The sequence below is a fragment of the Homo sapiens genome, chromosome 1 (genome assembly GCF_000001405.40).
Source record: "Homo sapiens chromosome 1, GRCh38.p14 Primary Assembly".
NCBI classification, from domain to species: Eukaryota; Metazoa; Chordata; class Mammalia; order Primates; family Hominidae; genus Homo; species Homo sapiens.
Window position 1 is genome coordinate 167,874,083 of NC_000001.11, and position 22,146 is coordinate 167,896,228.

Sequence of the window (22,146 nt, forward strand, 5' to 3'; positions counted from 1 at the left end):
GCACTTTGGGAGGCTGGGGCAAGTGGATCACTTGAAGTTAGGAGATCAAGACCAGTCTGGCCAACATGGTGAAACCCTGCCTCCACTAAAATATAAAAATTAGCTGGGCATGGTGGCGGACACCTGTAATCCCAGCTACTCAGGAGGCTGAGTCCTGAGAATCACTTGAACCCAGGAGGTAGAGGTTGTAGTGAGCCAAGATTGCTCCTTTGTACTCCAGCCTGGGCAACAGAGTGAGACTCTGTCTCAAAATAAATAAATAAATAAATAAATCCAAATGGCCAATAAACTTATGAAGAAGGAGCTCAACCACATCAGGGAAATACAAATGGAAACCATAATAAGATACCACTATACACCCAACAGAATTATTGAAAGGATAAAGATTGATAAAACTAAGTTGTTGCCAAAGATGAAGAACAACTGGAACTCTCTTAACATTCTCAGTCAGAATATAAATAAATACAACCATTTTGGAAAACTATTTGGCACCCTTTGTCCCAACAATTTCAGTCCTACGTTTTACTCCTACCTTGTACTCAACAGAAATGCATACATGCATTCACCAAAAGACTTGTGTAAGAATGTTTATGGCAATATTATTCATAAGAACCAAAAACTGGAAATAACCCAAATGTTGCACAGCAACAGAATGGGTAAATTGTTGTATATTTATAAAAATGGAATACTACATAGTAATGACATAGAATAAATTACAGCTACACCCAACAATATGGATGAATTATATAACATACCATTGAGTAAGAGAAAGTATATATAAGCCGTATATAATTATACAATGTATGATTCCATCTGTATCAATTTTTTAAACAGGCATAAGTAATCGAGGGTGTTAGAAGACTTTGGGGAAAGGAAGAAGGAAAGAGTAATCCTGGTGTATTGCTATTTTTCTATTTCTTAACCTGGATGATGATTATATTTTCATTTTGTGATAATTCATTAAGCTGCACAGTTATCATTGATGTACTTTTCTGCATGTTTTGTTTTAGTTCAATAAAGAAGTTTAAAATCAAGGCCTACTACCTACCCAGCAAAGGGTAATCCTCCTTTCTGTTGCAGATGAGGCACGCCATACCAAACATGCTGAAGAGAAGAACAAAAGAACAGATGCTAGATTCAAAACAGGGACATATTGAGAGCAAGAGTGATTAGTTCTTAGTTCCCAGAAAGTTTCCTTCTCAATTGCTAACAAGAGTCTATCCCCTGACTCACGGGTCGCAAACGCCAAAAGAAGGAGAAACGAGAAGGTCTGACTTGGTAGTGGAGAATCCAAAGAACTCAGGTAGCATCTGTTTCCATAGCATCTGGCACATTGTTCAATAAATGCTGTTGAGTCTGCACTGGTAGAGAAACCCCTTTCTGGGGAGATCAGACACCTGATATACGACCCAGTAGATTTCAATGTGGTGCAGAGTCACACATCCTGCAAAGATTCCACCAATTGCTCAAACAATAATAGCGCGCCTTTTATTGGAGCACATGCTATGTGTCTGGCGCAGTTCCAAGTGCTTTACATGCATCATTTTCTTTAATCCTGACAAAAACACTGTTAAGAAGTACTACTTGGCTGGGCGCAGTGACTCACGCCTGTAATCCCAGCCCTTTGGGAGGCCGAGGTGGGCAGATCACGAGGTCAGGAGATCGAGACCATCCTGGCTAACACGGTGAAACCCCGTCTCTACCAAAAATACAAAAAGAAATTAGCCAGGCATGGTGGCGGTTGCCTGTAGTCCCAGCTACTCAGGGGGCTGAGGCAGGAGAATGGTGTGAACCCGGGAGGGGGAGCTTGCAGTGAGCCGAGATCGCACCACTGCACTCCAGCGTGGGCAGCAGAGCCAGACTCCATCTCAAAAAGAAAAAAAAGGACTACTGGCCAGGCACGGTGGCTCATGCTTGTAATCCCAGCATTTTGGGAGGCCGAGGCAGGTGGATCATCTGAGGTCAGGAGTTTGAGACCAGCCTGACCAACATGGTGAAAACCTGTCTCTACTAAAAATACAAAAATTAGCTGGGCGTGGTGGCTTGCGCCTGCCATCCCAGCTACTCTGGAGGCTGAGGCAGGAGAATCGCTTGAACCCAAGAGACAGAGGTTGCAGTGAGCCAAGATCACGCCATTGCATTCCATCCTGGGCAACAAAAGCAAAGCTCCATCTCAAAAAAAAAAAAAAAAAAGTACTACTCTTATGTTCATTTTGCCAGTGAGGAAATTCAGGCACAAAGAGTTTAATTGCCCAAGACCCCATAGCAGGTGGTAACACAGGATACTGACAGTATCCAAACATAGGCCAGGGTGCATATGTTTGCTCACTCCATAACACTATCTCTTGAAGAAGCCTTTTAGTCAAAATGGATTATGCCCTTCTCTGAACTACAATACTACTTTGTTATGCCTCTCTTATAGCATATATCAAAGGTTCCCATGTAACATACAGCTAAGTTTGTGTATGTTGGTCTTCCCCACTTGATTGTGAGTTTTCTGGGCAGGAACTAGGCCCTGTTCATACTGTGTGTGTATTTCTCCACTTTTATCTGCAGAGGTGGTACAGAAAAATCATGAAGAGTACAGGCTTTGGGATCAGATAGTCCTGGGTTTGCATAGTAAACTGATTGCATTAATGGCCCCAGTACCTGTATCTGTGCCCTTTGCTGTGTAACTTGGCAGAGTCCTCTCATTCTGGACTCAGCCTTGTGAATGCTTTTGTCAATGGACTATCTGCAAACATAAGACATAGGAAGAGGCTTGAAAAATGCTTTTGCATTGGGCCTGCTCTCTTGCTCCTCCAGTATTGCCAGGACAAACATGCTGGATGGAAGATGAGACACATAGAGCCAGATTGCCCTAGTTATCCCAACTGAGGCCGCCAGGTTGGCCAACAGTCTGTTGAACCCCAGGCACGTGAATAAGCCAAGACAAGATCAACCAAATCCAGCCAAGATCAATTGAACCCCACATTTGTGAGAAAAATAAATGTTTATTTTTGCACACCACTGAAGTTTTGTGATTGCCCGTAAGGTCACATTATTGTGACTGAATCTTGACTCCATTGCTCACTATAGATATGGCCATAGACAAGTCATTTAACATCTCTGAGCCTCAGTTTTTGAATTTATAAAATGGAAATTATAATAGTTTCTATCTCGTATGGTCAATATTAAGACTGGATTATATATTTTGAGGTAAAGTACCTGATGTTTAATAAGTACTCACTAAAAATTATTATTCATTCATGTATTCAAACTGCACTTTATTGATGGCCTATGTATGCCAAGCACAGTGCTAAGCCTCAGGAATACTGAAGGGAATAATAAAGACACCTTGACCCAACTGCAGCCCTGGTTCTGTTATCTGACTCTTGAAGACCTCGATTCCAGCTTGCTAATCTAATGAATAACAACTTTCTGCTCTCTGTGCCATTCATTTATTCATCATTATTGAGGACCTACTGTATACCAAGCACTGGGGATATAAGAATAAAGAAATAATTAGTATCTTCAAAGAGTTCACAGTGTAACAAGTGAAAACTGTAGGAAGTGAATAATTGTGATATAGGGCAAGGAGTGTTCTAATAGAAGCATATGCTATAGGAGGAAAAAAGGAAGAGGAAGAAGGAAGACAAAGGGGGAAAGAGCTTAACTGTCTAGCTGGGATGGGGAATTCATAGAGGAATGTCTATGAATCCCTCGAGCTGGGTTTCAAAAATTGACTGCGGTTTTCCCAATAGACCAGGATTAGGTGGGTGCTGATGAGGACAATCTACTTAAACAACCCAGAGGAGGGGGAACAGGAGGAGATGAGGTTGGAAAGGCAGGTGGTACCTTGTATGTCACTGCAAAGATTTTGAACATCACCATGAAAATGACTGAAAGCCATTGAAGGATTTTAAGCTTCAAAGTGACACCCATAAATCTATGCTGAGCTTTTGGGGAATGTATTTCACTAAAGACTTAGAGGAGAAATAATATCTTATACTCTTTTAACCCTAACAATGCCTCGGCATACAGTTGACATAATTAGTAAATAATATTAAATGGTTGGTGATTGGGCCCATTTGGGTGCAAATAGATACTCAAATGAGAGGATTTTTTGTTTGGTTTGTACAACCTTTGAAGAATTACCCTCATATTCTCAGATCTGAGGAGAGAATGGGATTTTCCACCATGCCATAGTGTCAGTCAGATGGAGGAAAGATTAAGGATTTTGAAGTCTGGGCCTTGGTCTGGGGAAAGCATAGATTTCAACTTTTTGAACTGGCTCCAAATCTTAAATGGGTGACTGCTTTGCTATCATAATTCTCCCGCTTCTTTACTAAAATATACTTCAAAATTAATGCTCCACACTCACACTTTCTCAGTACGGCCCCAATACTGATACAATGGTCCAGAATCTGCAACACCTTTCATAACTTTCTTTGGAAGCTCTTTAAAAAAGTACGCTGGTAGGTTGCTCCCATTGTAGGTGACAGAGTCGCAGGTCACAATTCCTGGGTAGTACATCATCATCCTGGCAGCTAAGTTGACTTTTTGACCAATGACTATAGCAAGAAAGAGAAAGTCAAAGATCAGGGAAATAACAGGCATTGAACTGAATGTAATCTGAAACATTGTCCCCAAATAGCATTTTTACCCTTTACTCCCTTTGCTGTTCATGAGTGACACAGAAGCCTAGTCTCAAGACCCATATTCAGCCAATGGCTATTCACAAAATGTGCAGGGAGTTAGTTAGCCATTAGCAAAGTTTCTGCCTCACTTGGGAGGTCAAGAGAATGACCTGCTCAGGGATGGAAGGGGCTTGAGTATGGAGCAGGCTCTGTAAGTGGGATGGCCACAGCACTGAAGGCTCTCAGAGAAGGTGTCAGTTGGTCTTCTGCCACAAGGTGGACAAGCACATGCTTGGGCCTGGGGTACTGATCTCCATATGAGACATAAAATTGTGTCTGCATGCTCCTATGAATAAACCTTCATTTGGCGATTTCTCGATTTAGTAAATGGGCTAGAAGAGGCGTGCATGGAGGATTGAAGCACAGGCTCTGAAGGCAGACTGTGCAGGGTTGAACACCAGCTCTACCCCTAACTATGTGCAAACTACTTGGGACAATTACTTTAAATAACTCCTCATGCCTCCATTCTCTAACCTATAAAATAGGGATGATAATAGTAACTCTCTGAGAGGGTGGTTTATGAAGATTAATTAGTTAATACACGTTTATCACTTTCAACAGCAGCTGGCTGCTTGTAAGCCTTCAATTAATATTACTACAAATGAGGTAGCAAATGTGTCACTTTAACATAAACTTGAATACTTCTGAACAAGGTACTCTTTTTGAAAACTATTTATTGTGGAGAAATTTGACCATAAAATAAAATATAATGAATTTCCATATACCCATCACCCCATCCCAACAAGCCATTAGCCCATGGCTAATCCTGCCCCATCCTCACCCCCATACACTCCCCACCCTGTGTACTTTTGAAGAACATCTCAGACATTGTATCATTTCAGACATAACTATCGTGGTATTTTACATATATTCAGTATTTTAGATGCATTATTGCTGAAAATCTTAAACCCTGATAGGATGGAAAAGGGAAGTAATAGAGTTGTGAAATCTGGAGATAAGATTTACTTATTACTACTCTCTTTTGAGAGTGTCATTATTTTTCAGTAATATCAACATTCATAATTTTTAAGGAGTTCTAGCTTATTCCAGGAATTAAGAGAAGTAACTATTTAATGTTAACAGGAAAGTATTACAGGAGCCCCTCATTCCATCAACATATAGCCTCCCACTGCTCCCCTCTCATGACTACATATTTCTCTACTCATACATAGCCCCAGAAATGCACACTCTGCAAGCATTGAGGGCTCCATGGCTTGGCTCCATCTGGAAGACTCTAAAGTTTCTGAGGGCAGGGCTCATGTCTCACTCATTTTTGTGCTTCCTCCCGCAAAGCCCAGTGGCAAGGTGCTGTGTTTGCAGAAAGAAAGCTGGAGATGAGCTGACCCAGCACACCTGTGTACTCGTGTCTCACAGTGTGTCCAACGATCCCACAGAAGACAATCCCACTGGCAACACCGATGGATACAGTTCTGGTGCAGGGGAGACAAGATTTGTGGGGAAAGAAATAAAGATAATGAGCGTAGAGAAAGTGGGAAGGGTGGGAAATAATGTCTGGGTTGGGAAAGGGTGGGAAAGGATTTTCTCTACCCGTTGGAATTAGTTTATGGCATTTCTACATGGCCCGGAGATGCGAAGGAGGAACAACAGTTTGAGACACAGGACTAAGTTCTTAATTAATTCTTCTTTCTTTCCTGTTCCCTGCATGCCCTCCCTACTTATGCCTCAAAAGGGTCAGGGACCGCTGGGTGGGACCAGGGTCAATACTCACTGGATTTTGTGGACTTGAGAGCAGAAGTCAAATATATCCATAGCACATTCCAGAGCATGAGTGAGCTCGTCAGGTACCTTTTCCCCAGGGAAGCCAAAGACACAGAGGAAAGAGCAGCCCTGTGAGGGAGAGAGACAGCAACCACAGCTGATGGACAGTGTGCTTTAAACTGGACTGGCCAGAAGGCTCAACAGAGAGCCGGCGGCAATTTTTGGCTTCTGAATCAGATTTTATCATGATTTCTCTCACAGTATTTTATTTTTAGTACACTTCAAACACTTCTACTGCATCATCAACAGGAGGGCTTGAGCCTTGAGAAGGGCTTGTTTTGCTCCAGATATAGTGAATAGGGCTGAGCTATCTGTGTGCATGCTTCGGCCTACTCTCTCCTGTGGCCAAGGTCCATGCTGCAAAGTGCTCAGTTTAAGTCTATGAAGCAGCAGCACAGAGCAGTGGAAAAGGCACCAGCTCTGGAATCAGAAAGTCTCTGTCCTCAAGCCACTTCTCAAGTGTGGAAACTTAGATAAGTCTATTACAATCTAGGAACTTCCGTTTATCTCTCTGAAAATGGATATACTGTAGACCTGCTGAGATGTTTTTGGCTACTAAAAGAATTAATGTGTTATATATATTCAAAAAGTCATCCTAAACTATAAAGTACTTTGCAGATACTGTTATTCTTAGGGATAAAGGCTTAGGCTGTAAGTAGGTTTTCTTATCATAAAGCTAACTGTTCCATGCAATGATTCAACTCTAAAACTTGGCATTTGTAGTATTAGTCACTTAAAAAATGACCTCAGTCAGGTGCTGTTGTCTGTAAGAAAAGGGCATTGTGAATAAAGGGTGATGGGTTGAAATTTTGAGTTTTTGACATGTTACATCCTGATAAAATGCAAAGAACACTAAAATACCTCAATTTCTTCAACCCTCTCCAAAAGAATTTGATCAACTGTTAGATCTTAAAAAGGACTGGGATCTGCCTTGACATGAAGGGGGAAACACTGCTTCTAGGTACGTGCAAAGAGGGCAACCCCTTTGGGGGAAGCAGGGAGCTTTTGCCTGCAAATTTATGTAGCGGCCTGGCAAGAGCTTTTGATTCCCCCTAGCAATGGAATGACAGCTCTCATTTATTGCACACTGACTCTAAGATAGGCATTACACCAAGTGCCTCACACATATTACATTATTTAAAACTTTCCACAATCATTTGAGACAAATACTATCCCCATTCAAAGAGGAATAAACCAAGGCTCAGAGAAGTTCAATGACTTGCTAAGTCTCACAGCTGGGAATCTTTGGAGCCATGTCTGCAAGACACGAAAGACTGTTCTCTTAGATTCTACACTCTTTTCTTATGATACCCATGGGTCAGTATTGAAGAAGGTACTGGAGACACCAGGCTGGAAGTAATCCCTTTCCAGAACTCCCATAGCACAGAGTTAGTTCGTCTCATATAGAATGCATGCTTCCTGCCTGGTTGTGTCAATATATGTGTTACTCATCTCTGCTGCCCAGCCCTAGCTTTTCGTCTTCTATGAAATGCTCAGTAAATGCTTGTTGAATTAGTGAGTGAGTGGATGTGGGGCAGTAATTAAGTGCTCTGCTTTTAATACACAAAAGGAATTGAGATGGGAAATCAATTCTCACATATGCATCTGTGGTCATTTGTTCATCACATCACTTTTCTCTGAATTGATTAAGAACAGAGTGAAGACCAGGTGCAGTGGCTCATGCCTGTAATCCCAGCACTTTGGGAGGCCGAGGCAGGTGGATCACTTGAGGTCAGGAATTCGAGACCCACCTGGCCAACATGGCGAAACCTCATCTCTACTAAAAATACAAAAATTAGCCAGGTGTGGTGGCGCATGCCTGTAATCCCAGCTACTCAGGAGGCTGAGTCAAGAGAATCGCTTGAACCCGGGAGGCGGAGGTTTCAGTGAGCCGAGATCATGCCACTGCATTCCAGCCTGGGCAATAGAGCAAGATTCCGTCTCAAAAAAAAAAAAAAAAAAAAGAACAGAGCGAAAACACCTGGGAGCCAGAGGCAGTCCCCTCCCTGCCATGGATGAAAATAAAAGGGGAACTGGAGGTGTTGACATGGCAAGTGGGCTTTCTTGGAAACAAGCTTCTGGGGTAAGATGGTTACTAAAGACTCCTGACCTGAAACCCCTGGGTAATACATCATGCACTGAGCTGGAGACTTATGTGTAGTGAGAGGTAGCCCAGCGTAGTGAGAGGTAGCCCAGCATAGTGAGCTCAGACGGGGATGGCAGACTGCCTGGGTTTGAATCCCAGCCTCCCCCTTACTAGCTTGATGATCATAAGCAAAACGTAATCTCGCCTTGTCCTGGTATCCTAATCTGTGTTTCAGCATCCTCATCTATATAATGAGGATAATGACAAGAGCAACCTACTGCTCAGAGTGGTCATGAGGATGAAATGAGTCAATAGAGATCAGGTCCTGAGAACAGTGCCTGGCACATAGTAAGTGCCATATCCACCATAGAAGTTATAATTATAAACAAAGACTGGCCTTCTAGGTTAAATTTCTTTTTTTGTTTAGTTGAGACGGAGTCTCACGCTATAGCCCAGGCTGGAGCGCAGTGGTGCGATCTCGGCTCACTGCAACCTCCGCCTCTCAGGTTCAAGCCATTGTCCTGCCTCAGCCTCCTGAGTAGCTGAGATTACAGGCACGTGCCACCGCACCCAGCTAATTTTTGCATTTTTAGTAGAGACAGGGTTTCACTATGTTGGCCAGTCTGGTCTTGAACTCCTGACCTCAAGTGATCCGCCCACCTCTGCCTCCCAAAGAGCTGGGATTACAGGCGTGAGCCACCACGCCCAGCCTCTAGGTTAAATTTCCTGTGTCTATTCTCACCAATGTGCTTGTCCATGAATGCTAACCTAAAACTATTGGTAGGTTCCCATCCCATAGTTCACACTTACCTTGTCAAACATGAAGACTTTATTGATTTGGCCTTGGAAGATCTTCAGGACAGAAGTGATGTGCATATAGGCATCCTGGATGGCTGGGCCTATCTCTTCTGCTTTGTCTTGGTCTTCAAACATCAGGTTCACAAACACAATCGTCACTGGGCGAAGCTCAGATAAATAGCCCTGAAGCTGTTTGTTATCAATCTGCAAAGTAGAGAGCAGCTTTCTGTAGGTGTCCTTGGCAGTGGATCCCTCCCCCAACACCGCCCCCACCTCATACCCGAAATCATCTAGGGAATGTCTACCTCAGAATGGGTGAGGTACAACATGACAGAGCCAGCATGCCTGAAGTGGAGCAGATGGAAATATAATCAAAATCCCTCTCTTCCAGTGGGGACTTATGCATGTGCTAATTTTTGGCCAGCAACCACTCCATTACCCCAACTGCTGGCTTCCTCATGCCAATATGAGCCATTGCAATAAGGGAAATAACTACTGTTCTTTTTGGCTCTCCTATTTTTAAAAAAATTTAAAATTTTTTAATTTTTGTAGGTCTATAGTAGATGTATATATTTTTGTGTTACATGAGATATTTTGATACAGGCATGCAATGCGTAATAATCACATCAGGGTAAATGGATTATTCATCCCCTCAAGCATTTATCCTTTGTGTTACAAACAATCCAATTATACTCTTTTAGTTATTTTTAAAATGTATGGTTGTATTAGTCCGTTCTCCCACTGTTATAAAGAACTACCTGATACTGGGTAATTTACAAGGAAAAGAGGTTTAATTGACTCACAGTTCCATGGGCTGTACAGGAAGCATGGCTGGGGAGGACTCAAACTTATAATATGGCAGAAGACGAAGGAGAAGCAGGCACTTCTTATATGGCCAGAGGAGAGCAGGGGGAGTGCTACACACTTTTAAACAATCAGATCCCATGAGAACTCATTCACTATCACGAGAACAGCAAGGGTATAATCCACCCCTATGATCCAATCACCTCCTACCAGTCCCCTCCACCAACATTGGGGATTATAATTCAACATGAGATTTGGGAGGGGATACAAATCCAAACCATATCAATGATTAAATTATTTTTTACTATAGTTACCCTGTTGTACTAGCAAATACTAGGTCTTTCTCATTCTTTCTCTTTTTTTGTACTCATTGACCACCCCCAATTCCTCCTCATCCCCCACTACCCTTCCCAGCCTTTGGTAACCATCCTTATATTCTCTACCCCCATGAGTTCAATCATTTTAATTTTTTTTTTTTTTTTTTTTTGAGACGGAGTCTCGCTCTGTTGCTCAGGCTGGAGTGCAGTGGCGCGATCTCGGCTCACTGCAACCTCTGCCTCCTGGGTTCAAGCGATTCTCCTGCCTCAGCTTCCAGAGTAGCTGGGATTGCAGGCATGCACCACCATGCCTGGCTAATTTTTGTATTTTTAGTAGAGACGGGGTTTCACTGTGTTAGTCAGACTGGTCTCGAACTCCTGACCTCATGATCTGCCTGCCTTGGCCTCCCAAAGTGCTGGGATTACAGGCATGAGCCACCATGCCCAGCCCAATAGTTTTAATTTTTAGCTCCCACAAATAAGTGAGAACATGTGGTTTCTCTTTCTATACCTGGTTTATTTCACTTAATATAATGACCTCCACTTCCATCCACGTTGTTGCAAATGACAGATCTCATTTTTTTTATGGCTGAATAGTACTTCGTTGTGTATATGTACCACATTTTCTTTATCCATTTCTCTGTTGATGGACACTTAAGCTGCTTCCAAGTCTTGACTACTGTGAATAGCACTGCAGTAAACATGGGAGTGTAGGTATCTCTTCAATATATTGATTTCTTTTCTTTTGAGTATGTATCTAGGAGTAGAATTTCTAGATTGTATGGTAGCTCTATTTTTAGCTTTTTGAGGAACTTTCAAACTGTTCTCCAAGGTGGCTGTGCTAATTTACTTTCTCATTAACAGTGTACAAGGATTCCCTTTTTTCCACATCCTGTCCAGCGTTTGTTATTGCCTGTCTTTTGGATAAAAGTCATTTTAACTGGGGTAAGATGATAATCTTATTGTAGTTTTGATTTTCATTTATCTGATGATTGGTGATGTTGTGCACCTTTTCACATATTTTTCACATACTTGTTTGCCATTTGTATGTCTTCCTTTGAGAAATGTCTATTTCGATCTTTTTTTTTTGAGACGGAGTCTCACTCTGTCACCTGGGCTGGAGTGCAGTGGCACATCTCATCTCACTGCAACCTCCGCCTCCTGGGTTCAAGTGATTCTGTTGCCTCAGCCCCTGAGTAGCTGGGATTACAGGCGCCCACCACTACGCCCAGCTAATTTTTTGTATTTTTAGTAGAGACGGGGTTTCACCATGTTGGCCAGGCTGGTCTTGAACTCCTGATCTCGTGACTTGCCCACCTCGGCCTCCCAAAGTGCTGGGATTACAGCTGTGAGCCACTGCGCCTGGCCTTATTCAGACCTTTTACCCATTTTTTAATCAGATTATTAGATTTTTTTCTATAGAGCTGTTACAGCTTCTTATATAGGGATGTGAAGGACCTCTTCAAGGAGAACTACAAACCACTGCTCAACGAAGTAAAAGAGGACACAAACAAATGGAAGAACATTCCATGCTCATGGATAGGAAAAATCAATATCATGAAAATGGCCATACTGCTCAAGGTAATTTATAGATTCCATGCCATCCCCATCAAGCTACCAATGACTTTCTTCACAGAATTGGAAAAATCTACTTTAAAGTTCATATGGAACCAAAAAAGAGCCTGCATTGTCAAGATAATCCTAAGCAAAAAGAACAAAGCTGGAGGCATCATGCTACCTGACTTCAAACTATACTACAAGGCTACAGTAACCAAAACAGCATGGTACTGGTACCAAAACAGAAATATAGACCAATGGAATGGAACAGATCCCTCAGAAATAATACCACACATCTACAACCATCTGATCTTTGACAAACCTGAAAAAGACAAGAAATAGGGAAAGGATTCCCTATTTAATAAATGGTGCTGGGAAAACTGGCTAGCCATATGTAGAAAGCTGAAACTGGATCCCTTCCTTCCACCTTATACAAAAATTAATTCAAGATGGATTAAAGACTTAAATGTTAGACCTAAAACCATAAAAACCCTAGAAGAAACCTAGGCAATACCATTCAGTACATAGGCATGGGCAAGGACTTCATGACTGAAACACCAAAAGCAATGGCAACAAAAACCAAAATTGACAAACAGGATCCAATTAAACTAAAGAGCTTCTGAACAGCAAAAGAAATCATCAGAGTGAACAGGCATCCTACAGAATGGGAGAAAATTTTTACAATCTACCCATCTGACAAAGGGCTAATATCCAGAATCTACAAAGAACTTAAACAAATTTGCAAGAAAAAAATCAAACAACCCCATCAAAAAGTGGGCAAAGGATATGAACAGACACTTCTCAAAAGAAGACATTTATGCAGCCAACAGACAGATGAAAAAATGTTCATCATCACTGGCCATCAGAGACATGCAAATCAAAACCACAATGAGATACCATCTCACACCAGTTAGAATGGCAATCATTAAAAAGTCAGGAAACAACAGGTGCTGGAGAGGATGTGGAGAAATAGGAACACTTTTACACTGTTGGTGGGACTGTAAACTAGTTCAACCATTGTGGAAGACAGTGTGGCGATTCCTCAAGGATCTAGAACTAGAAATATCATTTGACCCAGCCATCCCATTACTGGGTATGTACCCAAAGGATTATAAATCATGCTGCTATAAAGACACATGCACATGTATGTTTATTGTGGCACTATTCACAATAGCAAAGACCTGGAACCAACCCAAATGTCCATCAGTGGTAGACTGGATTAAGAAAATGTGGCATGTATACACAGTGGAATATTATGCACCCATAAAAAGGATGAGTTCACGTCCTTTGTAGGGACATGGATGAAGTTGGAAACCATCATTCTGAGCAAACTATCACAAGGATAGAAAACCAAACACCACATGTTCTCACTCATAGGTGGGAATTGAACAATGAGAACACTTAGACACAGGGTGGGGAACATCACACACCAGGGCCTGTCGTGGGCTGGGGGGAAGGGGGAGGGATAGCATTAGGAGATATACCTAATGTAAAAGATGAGTTAATGGGTGCAGCATACCAACATGGGACATGTATACATAACGTAACAAACCTGCACATTGTGCACATGTACCCTAGAACTTAAAAGTATAATAAAAATAAATAAATAAATATAAAAATAAAAGATTAAAAAAACTCATCAATGAAACTAATTTTTTATCTGATAAAATAATTCTAAAAAAAAAAAACACTTGATGTTATCCCATCTGTCCATTTTTGCTTTGGTTGCCTGTGCTTGTGGGGTATTACTCAAGAAATCTTTGCCCACTCCAATGTCCTTGAGAGTCTCCCCAATGTTTTCTTGTAGTAGTTTCATGGTTTGATGTCTCAAAGTCCATTTTGACTTGATTTTTGTATATAGCAAGAGATAGGAGTCTAGTTTCATTCATCTGCATATGGATATCCAGTTTTCCCAGCACAATTTATTGAAGGGATTGTCTTTTCCTTTATATTCTTGGCTCTTTTGTCAAAAATTAGTTCACTGTAGATGTATGAGTTTATTTCTTGTTTCTCTATTCTGTTCCACTGGTCTATGTGTCTGTTTTCATGCCAGTACTATGCTATTTGGGTTGCTATAGCTGTGGTATAATTTGAAGTCAGATAATATGATTCCTCCTGATTTATTCTTTTTGCTTCAGATAGCTTTGGCTACTCTGGGTCTTTTGTGGTTCCATGTAAATTTTAGAATTTTTTTTTTCTATTTCTGTGAAGAATGTCATTGGTATTTTGTTAGGTATTGCATTGAATCTGTAGATTGCTTTGGGTAGTATGAACATTCTTCCAATCTATAAGCATGGAATATCTTTCATTTTTTTTTTGTGGCCTCTTCAACTTCTTGTGTCAACATTTTATAGTTTTCACGGTAGAGATCTTTCACTTCTTTGGTTAATTACTAGGTACTTTATTTTATTTTTAGCTATTGTTAACAGGATTACTTTCTTGATTTCTTTTTCAGATTGTTCCCTGTTAGCATATAGAAATGCTGATTTTTGGGCCGGGCGCGGTGGCTCACGCCTGTAATCCCAGCACTTTGGGAGGCCGAGGCGGGCGGATCACGAGGTCAGGAGATCGAGACCATCCTGGCTAACACGGTGAAACCTCGTCTCTATTAAAAACACAAAAAATTAGCGGGGCGTGGTGGCGGGCGCCTGTGGTCCCAGCTACTCAGGAGGCTGAGGCAGGAGAATAGAGTGAACCCGGGAGGCGGAGCGTGCAGTGAGCCGAGACAGCGCAACTGCAGTCCAGCCTGGGCGAAAGAGGGAGACTCCGTCTCAAAAAAAAAAAAAAAGAAAAAGAAAGAAAAAGAAATGCTGATTTTTGTATGATGATTTTGTATACTGTGACCTTGTTGAATTTGTGTATCAGTTCTAATGGTTTTTTGGTGGAGTCTTTAGGTTTTTCCAAATATAATAAGATCATCTGAAAACAAGGATAATTTGACTTCTTCCTTTCCAATTTGTATGCCATTTCTTTCTTTCTCTTGTCTGATTACATAGGACTTCCAGTATTATGTTGAAAAACAGTGGTAAAGTGGGCATCCTTGTGTTCTAGATCTTAGAGGAAGGGCTTTTAGTTTCTCCCTATTCATTATGATACTAGTGGTCGGTCTATTCTATATGGCTTTTCTTATGTTGAGGTATGTTCCTTCTATACACAGTTTTTTGGGAATTTTTATCATGAAGGGATGTTGAATTTTATCAACTGCTTTTTCAGCATCAACTGAAATGATAATATGGTTTTTGTCCTTCATTCTGTAGATAAGACATATCACAGTGTTTGATTTGCATATGTCCAACCACCCTTGCATCCCTGGGATAAATCCCACTTGATCATGATGGATGATCTTTTTAATATGTTGTTGAACCCAGTTTGCTAGTATTTTGCTGAGGATTTTTACATCAATATTCATCAGAGATACTGGCCTGTAGCTTTCTTTTTTTGATGTACTTTTGTCTGGTTTTGGTATCAGGGTAATACTGGCCTTGTAGAATGAGTTTGGAAGTATTCCCTCCTCTTCTATGTTTCAGAGTAGTTTGAGTACGGTTGGTATTAGTTCTTCAAGTCTTTGGTAGAATTCAGCAGTGAATACTTCGGGTCCCAGATCTTGTTACTTGTTATTTATCTGTTCAGGTTTTAGATTTCTTCAGGGTCCAATATTGGTAGGATGTATGTGTATAGGAGTTTATACATTTCTTCTAGATTTTCCAATTTATTGGCATATAATTGCTCATAGTAGCCACCAATGATCCTTTGAATTTCTGTATTATCAGTTGTAATGTCTCCTCTTTCATTTCTGATTTTATTTATTTGGGTCTTTTCTCTTCTGTTCTTAGTTAACATGGCTGAAAGTTTCTAAATTCTTTCTCTGTGTTATCTTGAATTTCTTTGAGTTTCCTCAAACAGCTTTTTTGAATTACCTGTCTGAAAGGTCACATATCTCTGTCTCTCCACCCTGGTGCCTTATTTAGTTCCTTTGGTGAGGTCATGTTTTCCTGGATGGTCTTGATACTTGTGGAAGTTCGTCAGTGTCTGGACATTGAAGAGTTAGGTATTTATTGTAGTCTTTGACATTTAGGACTGTTTGTACCTGCCCTCCTTGGGAAGGCTTTCCATATATTCAAAAAAACTTGGGTGTTGTGATCTAAGCCATATCTATATTACAGAGCACCGCAAGTGCAGTAATGCTATGGTTCTTGCAGACTTATAGAGGTACCACCTTTGTGGTCTTAAATAAGATCCAGAAGAATTCTCTGGATTACCAAGCAGAGACTTTTGTTCTCTTCCCTTACTTTCTCCCAAACAAATGGAGTCTCTATTTCTCTGTGCTGAGCTGCTTGGAGCTGGGGGTGGGGTCACACAAGCACCCTTGTGGCTACCATCACTGAGACTGCACTGGGTCAGACCTGAAGCTAGCACAGCACTGGATATTGCCCAAGGCCCACTGTGACTACTACCAGGCTACCACCTATTTTTGTTCAAGGCTCTAGCACTCTACAATCAGCAGGTGCAAAGCCAGCCAGGTTTGTGTCTTTCCCTTCAGGGTGATGAGTTCCTCCAGGCCCCAGGCAGGTCCACAGATGCCATCTGGGAGTTTGGCTCTCTTATTTTTATAGTTAGGGATAAGAATAGCATGCTATGTAATTCAAACTTCCATTTTCATTAGGTATCTTCTGGAATGTTTTCACATTCTGTCCTACTCTACGTTCAAACAAAATGAAATCAGTATTATTATCCCCATTTTACCGATTAGATAACTGATGTATGGAGAAGTAACACAGCTTTCCCAAGGTCACATAAGGACACAATAAACTAGAATCCAAATCTCCAGACTCCTCATCCAACATTTATTTATTTATTTAGTTAGTTAGTTATTTTTTGAGACAGAGTCTCGCTCTGTCACCCAGGCTGGAGTGCAGTGGCGCAATCTCGGCTCACTGCAACCTCCGCCTCCTGGGTTCAAGCGATTCTCCTGTCTCAGCCTCCTGAGTAGCTGGGATTACAGGTGTGTGCCACCGCGCCTGGCTAATTTTTGTATTTTTAGTAGAGACAAGGTTTCACCATGTTGGTCAGGCTGGTCTTGAACTCCTGACCTGGTGATCCACCCACCTCGGCCTCCCAAAGTGCTGGGATTACAGGCGTGAGCCATCACGCTTGGCTCATCTAACATTTAATCTGCCACACTCTCCTGCCTCTCTGGGGTGGTGGTATATTTCATTTAGTTCCCCTCTTCTCTCCAACACAACAGGCACAGGGAAAATAAAGGAGAGTGTTGGGTCGGGCGCAGTGGCTCACATCTGTAATCCCAGCACTTTGGGAGGCTGAGGCGGGAAGATCACGAGGTCAGGAGATCGAGACCATCCTGGCTAACACGGTGAAACCCTGTCTCTACTAAAAATACAAAAACGTAGCCGGGCGTGGTGGCGGGCGCCTGTAGTCCCAGCTACTCAGGAGGCTGAGGCAGGAGAATGGCATGAACCCGGGAGGCGGAGCTTGCAGTGAGCCAAGATTGCGCCACTGCACTCCAGCCTGGGCGACAGAATGAGACTCTGTCTCAAAAAAAAAAAAAAAAGAAAGAAAGGAGAGTGTTCCCAAATTATCCCTGCCAATCATCATCCCTGAATTTTGTTAATTAAATACATAGCAAATCAATGGGGGAAAATCACTGCACTTTCTCCCCGAAATAGCACAGAAGTGTCAGATTCTTCAACGACAATGTGAAACACATTTTCTAGATTAAAGAAGGAATTGGTATAGGGAATAATGCAGCCATGCTTCCTAATTGCCTAGAAGGTCCTGGTTTCATGTAATTTTATTCTTTTTATAAAAGAGATTTAATAATTTCTAATTAACCAATGTGCTAATTTTTTTCTTTTCTTTTTTTTTTTTTTAGAGACAGGGTCTTGCTCTGTCCCCAAGGCTGGAGTGCAGTGGAGCAATCTCGGCTCACTGCAAGCTCCGTCTCCTTGCTCAAGTGATCCTCTCACCTCAGCCTCCCTAGTAGCTGGGGCTACAGGCACGTGCCACCACACCCAACTAATTTTTGTATTTTTGTGGAGATGAGGTTTTGCCATGTTGTCCAGGCTGGTCTTGAACTCCTGGGCTCAAGTGATCCACCTGTCTGGGCTTCCCAAAGTGCTGGGATTACAGGCATGAGCCTGGCCTTGATTTTTCAAATAAAATCATTCACAAATAAATAAAAAACTTCTGTCAGACTATGTATTCTGAGTTTTGGCTTGGAAAAGAGGACTACGGTATCTTTAAGGACTTCTCTTCTTTGGGTTCAGGGTCTGGTTTTGGTAAAGTTGTAAAAGGTTGTCTTTGGTCTTATTTTCAACCCTCTTAGCTGTACCTCTTCACCAGGTAAACATTTTTCCTACCTGGAATTTTCCCAGTGACTCACAGAGTCCATCTTATATTCCATTGCTAAAGACCTTGTTTTCAACTGGTTGCAATTAAAGAAGCATAATGTATTATATCTCTTGAGAATGGCTGCGGGAGAATGGGGTGACTTTTTTAAGCTTCAAAAGCCATGAAGAGTCAAGCAATGCAGGCACTAGGGGTAATGTTTTTACAATGGGCTGAAGGTGGCAGGGTGCATTCTGATACCTCTCCAATTCACTCTATGAAGGCAGCTACCCACTGGACAGGCCTTTGTTACAAAGATTTCCTCCAGGACACAACAGCATTTTGATGGGACTAAGTATTAAAGCAGGCATATATTAGGAGGGTGGATAGCCTGTGCAAAAATTGTAGAAGTCAGATAGACCAGGGTCCAAATCCTAGCTATATCTTTTACTTGACAACCTCAGGAAAGGCTGTAGTGTTCTCTGGGTCTCAGTTTTCTCATGCATATAAAATGAGGATAAAAATATCTACCAAGGACTGTAAAGAATAAATACATGAACTAGCAGAGTGACTGGCATATGGTGAGTGATAAGAGATAGTTATAATTCACATGGAATAATAAATTTGAGAGAACCAAGATTAAGAGAATAAAAAGAGAAAATATTGGAGGGTGGAGGTAGCTCAGAGTATTCTAATTACCTGCATTGTTAAATCTCAAAACTTAAGAGCTAATGCAAATGACTTGGAGAAATAGTGTACCAATGTTCATCCACTTGAAGTCTTTCTGCTATGTGGCATATAGAAAGGGTGCCCGCATGTTCTTATATGCTTGCAACAGCTCCCATTTGCGCAATTATATAAGGCAACGCAGTCCTATTTTATGCCTGTTGTCATATTATAATTATGAATAATGATCTCTTTGAAAGTATTGAGATTTGAACAATGAATTTCACAGTCACCTACATATAGAGAATGTCTTTTTAGGCTCAGTGTGGTGGCTCATGCCCATAATCCCAGCACTGTGGGAGGGTGAGGCGGGCAGATTTCTTGAGGTCAGGAATTTGAGATCAGTCAGGCCAACATGGTGAAGCTCCATCTCTACTAAAAATACAAAAAGTTAGCTGGGTGTGGTGGCGCATGTGGGAGGCTGAGGCAGGAGAATTGCTTGAACCCGGGAGGCGGAGGTTGCAGTGAGCCAAGATCATGCTGCTGCACTTCAGCCTGGGTGACAGAGTGAGACTCTGTCTCAAAAAAAAAAAAAAAAAAAAAAAAGGAAGTCTTTTTATTTTAATGGAACATTTTACTATTTACTAGTAGCTGCTGTTTTTTTTTTCTTAAATCTTAAAATTCCAGCTGTCCAGATCCCTGACATCCCCAAAGCCAGTAAATTCAATTTTGAAAATACCTGCTTCAAAATGCTTTCCATCACATACTTTTGTAGGGACATCTCCAGTTCAGGATCAGGCTTCAGCGTGCATGCAAGCCTCAGGAGGTCTAAGAAGGCAGAAGGAGGGTGCAGGCTCAGAGAGGGAAGTTTGGCTCTGCAGTGCTAGTGAGAGGAGGCTCCCAGTCCCTATTCTCTTGGGCAGTGGGCCTTCTTGTCCTTACAGTTGTCAGGAGACTCTGGGACACCTAGGGGCTGAAAGGGCCAGGGGAAATCCAAAGAGGAGCTCTTAGAGGTTAAAGGTTTCCCAAAATTCAGTCACATGTAGCTCAAAACCTTGTTCAAACTGACATGACGCTTTGGGACTTAGGGAGATTTTCACTTCTGAACTTGGTTTAGAACTATTGCCACAGGAGATGGGAACAAACAAATGAGGGAATGACAAGAGAGGAGCATGGTGACAGAATGAAGGGGATGGTAGAGTTGAAAGGGCAGCAGGAATAACATTAAGAAGACTGGTTTCTGATCTCAGGCTTGATACCGCTTCACTGTGTGACCCTGGAGAAGTCACTTTGCTGCCCTGGTTGCCTCCTATTTCCTCACCTGGGAAAAGAGTAGTTGAGCTTCATGATCTCTGTGGTTCCCTTCACTATAAAGATTGATAGTTTTATGCTCTAGGATAGACTGATAAGAGATGGTAGGAATGAGTTTGAGGGAGTCAAAAAATAAGGGAGACAGAAATGGCAAAGGGTTTTCAGCAGGGAAGAAAATGATAATGTGAAAAAAAATGTGTGTGTGTGTGTGTGTTTAATTTGGCTGGTCCTGATTTGTAGCCTTTATAATAAAACCATAACTGTAAGTGTAGCACTTTGCTGAGTTCTGTGAGTCATTTCAGTGAATTACTGAACCTGAGGGCATTAAGGAGATCCCCAGATTTGTAGGTAGTTGGTCAGAAGTGCCGGTGGTCTGGGGATCCCAGAGCTTGCAGCTAGTGTCTGAAGTTTGTAGAGGATTCAACCAATGAAATCCTGCACTAACTCCAGGTGGTTATAACATCAGAATTGCACTGCAGGCCGAGCACGGTGGCTCACACCTGTAATCCCAGCACTTTGGGAGGCCAAGGCAGGCGGATCATGAGGTCAAGAGATGGAGACCATCCTGGCCAACATGGGAAACCCTGTCTCTACTAAAAATACAAAAATTAGCTGGGTGTGGTGGCACGCCTCTGTATTCCCAGCTACTCAGGAGGCTGAGGCAGGAGAATCGCTTGAACCCGGGAGGCAGAGGTTGCAGTGAGCCCATATCGCGCCAGTGCACTCCAACCTGGTGGCAGAGTGAGACTCCATCTCAAAAAAAAAAAAAAAAAGGAATTGCATTGCAGTATTATGGTGCTCAAAGTAAGGCCTGAAGAAACCCTTTATAGAAGGTACCATTAAGACCCAGGAGATGGCATTAGTAAAGCTCAAGGAGTGGGTAATGTCATGAGGCTTTCTCCTTCATCTCTGGAGCTTCTGAGGTTCTTGGCCTTTCCTGATCAATGTTTGTACAGTCTCCCCACTCCCCACCCCACTGCCTATTGTGGCTTTGTAAAAGTACAGTCTTCTATTTGTAACATCTAAAATACTCCAGACCTGTACATAAATGATGAGAAAGAATGATTCAAAGATGTTTCTGATGTTTCTCACTTGGATGGAGTTTTCAGGGAAGGGTAAGTAGCTAAAGTTCAGATACGTTAATATTAGATGCCTATTTGACATCCAGTGGAAGTCGCCCATAGGTAGGGTATTTTGTTTGTTTTTTATGAATTCAGGACAAAAATCTGTCCTAGAATTCAGGACAAAAGACTGAAGCGAATTCTGGCTGTTAGGTCTGAGACTCGGGTGATGTAAGCAACTTGCAGGACCTTGAGAGTGAGTGTCTGCTTAAGTTTTGTGATACAGTCTTCTCACTTGCCTCATCTTACTCATATGGAAGTTAAGCACGAATAAATGGTTCACTAAGAAGTGAGTAGAGAAGACTAGAAGGTCAAAGACAGATACCTGAAGTCACCAACATTTAAGACATGGAAAGGAAACTAAGCAAAGAGGACTGAAAATAGGTGATTTGAGACGTAAAGGCAAAACTAGAAAAGAATAATACTTTTGAACTCAAGGAAAAAGGAGAAGGTAGTGTCCAAGAAAAGAGCATAAGCTATGGTCAACCATCTAGGATGAGGCCTGAGAAGAGGTCACCTGGTTTGGCAAATTAATGGTCCTTGGTGGCCTTGACATAAACAGTCTCAGTAGACAGCAGGGGACTAGCGTAGAAGCTAGGTGTCAGCGGTGCAAGACTGAAGAGCAGGTGAGCACAGACATCAAGGTGCTTGCAATCAATATTTATTGGATGAATAAATAAATA

General features: G+C 41.9%; 2 protein-coding genes across 12 annotated transcripts in view; one reads left to right on the top strand and one right to left on the bottom strand.

Moving 5' to 3' along the window:
• ADCY10 (adenylate cyclase 10) overlaps positions 1-22,146 on the bottom strand; it is a 104,749-nt gene that overhangs the window by 64,697 nt on the left and 17,906 nt on the right. For all 11 annotated transcript variants that reach the window (NM_001167749.3, XM_011509762.4, XM_011509763.4 and 8 more), the window contains 6 exons: positions 19,771-19,859; positions 9,355-9,546; positions 6,409-6,527; positions 6,033-6,109; positions 4,364-4,553; positions 1,049-1,104 (listed from right to left, as the gene is read on the bottom strand). In NM_001167749.3, coding sequence (NP_001161221.1) covers positions 1,049-1,104; positions 4,364-4,553; positions 6,033-6,109; positions 6,409-6,527; positions 9,355-9,546; positions 19,771-19,859 — 723 coding nt within the window. The remainder of the gene's footprint in view (positions 1-1,048; positions 1,105-4,363; positions 4,554-6,032; positions 6,110-6,408; positions 6,528-9,354; positions 9,547-19,770; positions 19,860-22,146) is intronic.
• The window catches only part of DCAF6 (DDB1 and CUL4 associated factor 6), a 212,261-nt gene that overhangs the window by 10,507 nt on the left and 179,608 nt on the right, over positions 1-22,146 (top strand). The gene's annotated exons all lie outside the window — the stretch shown is intronic.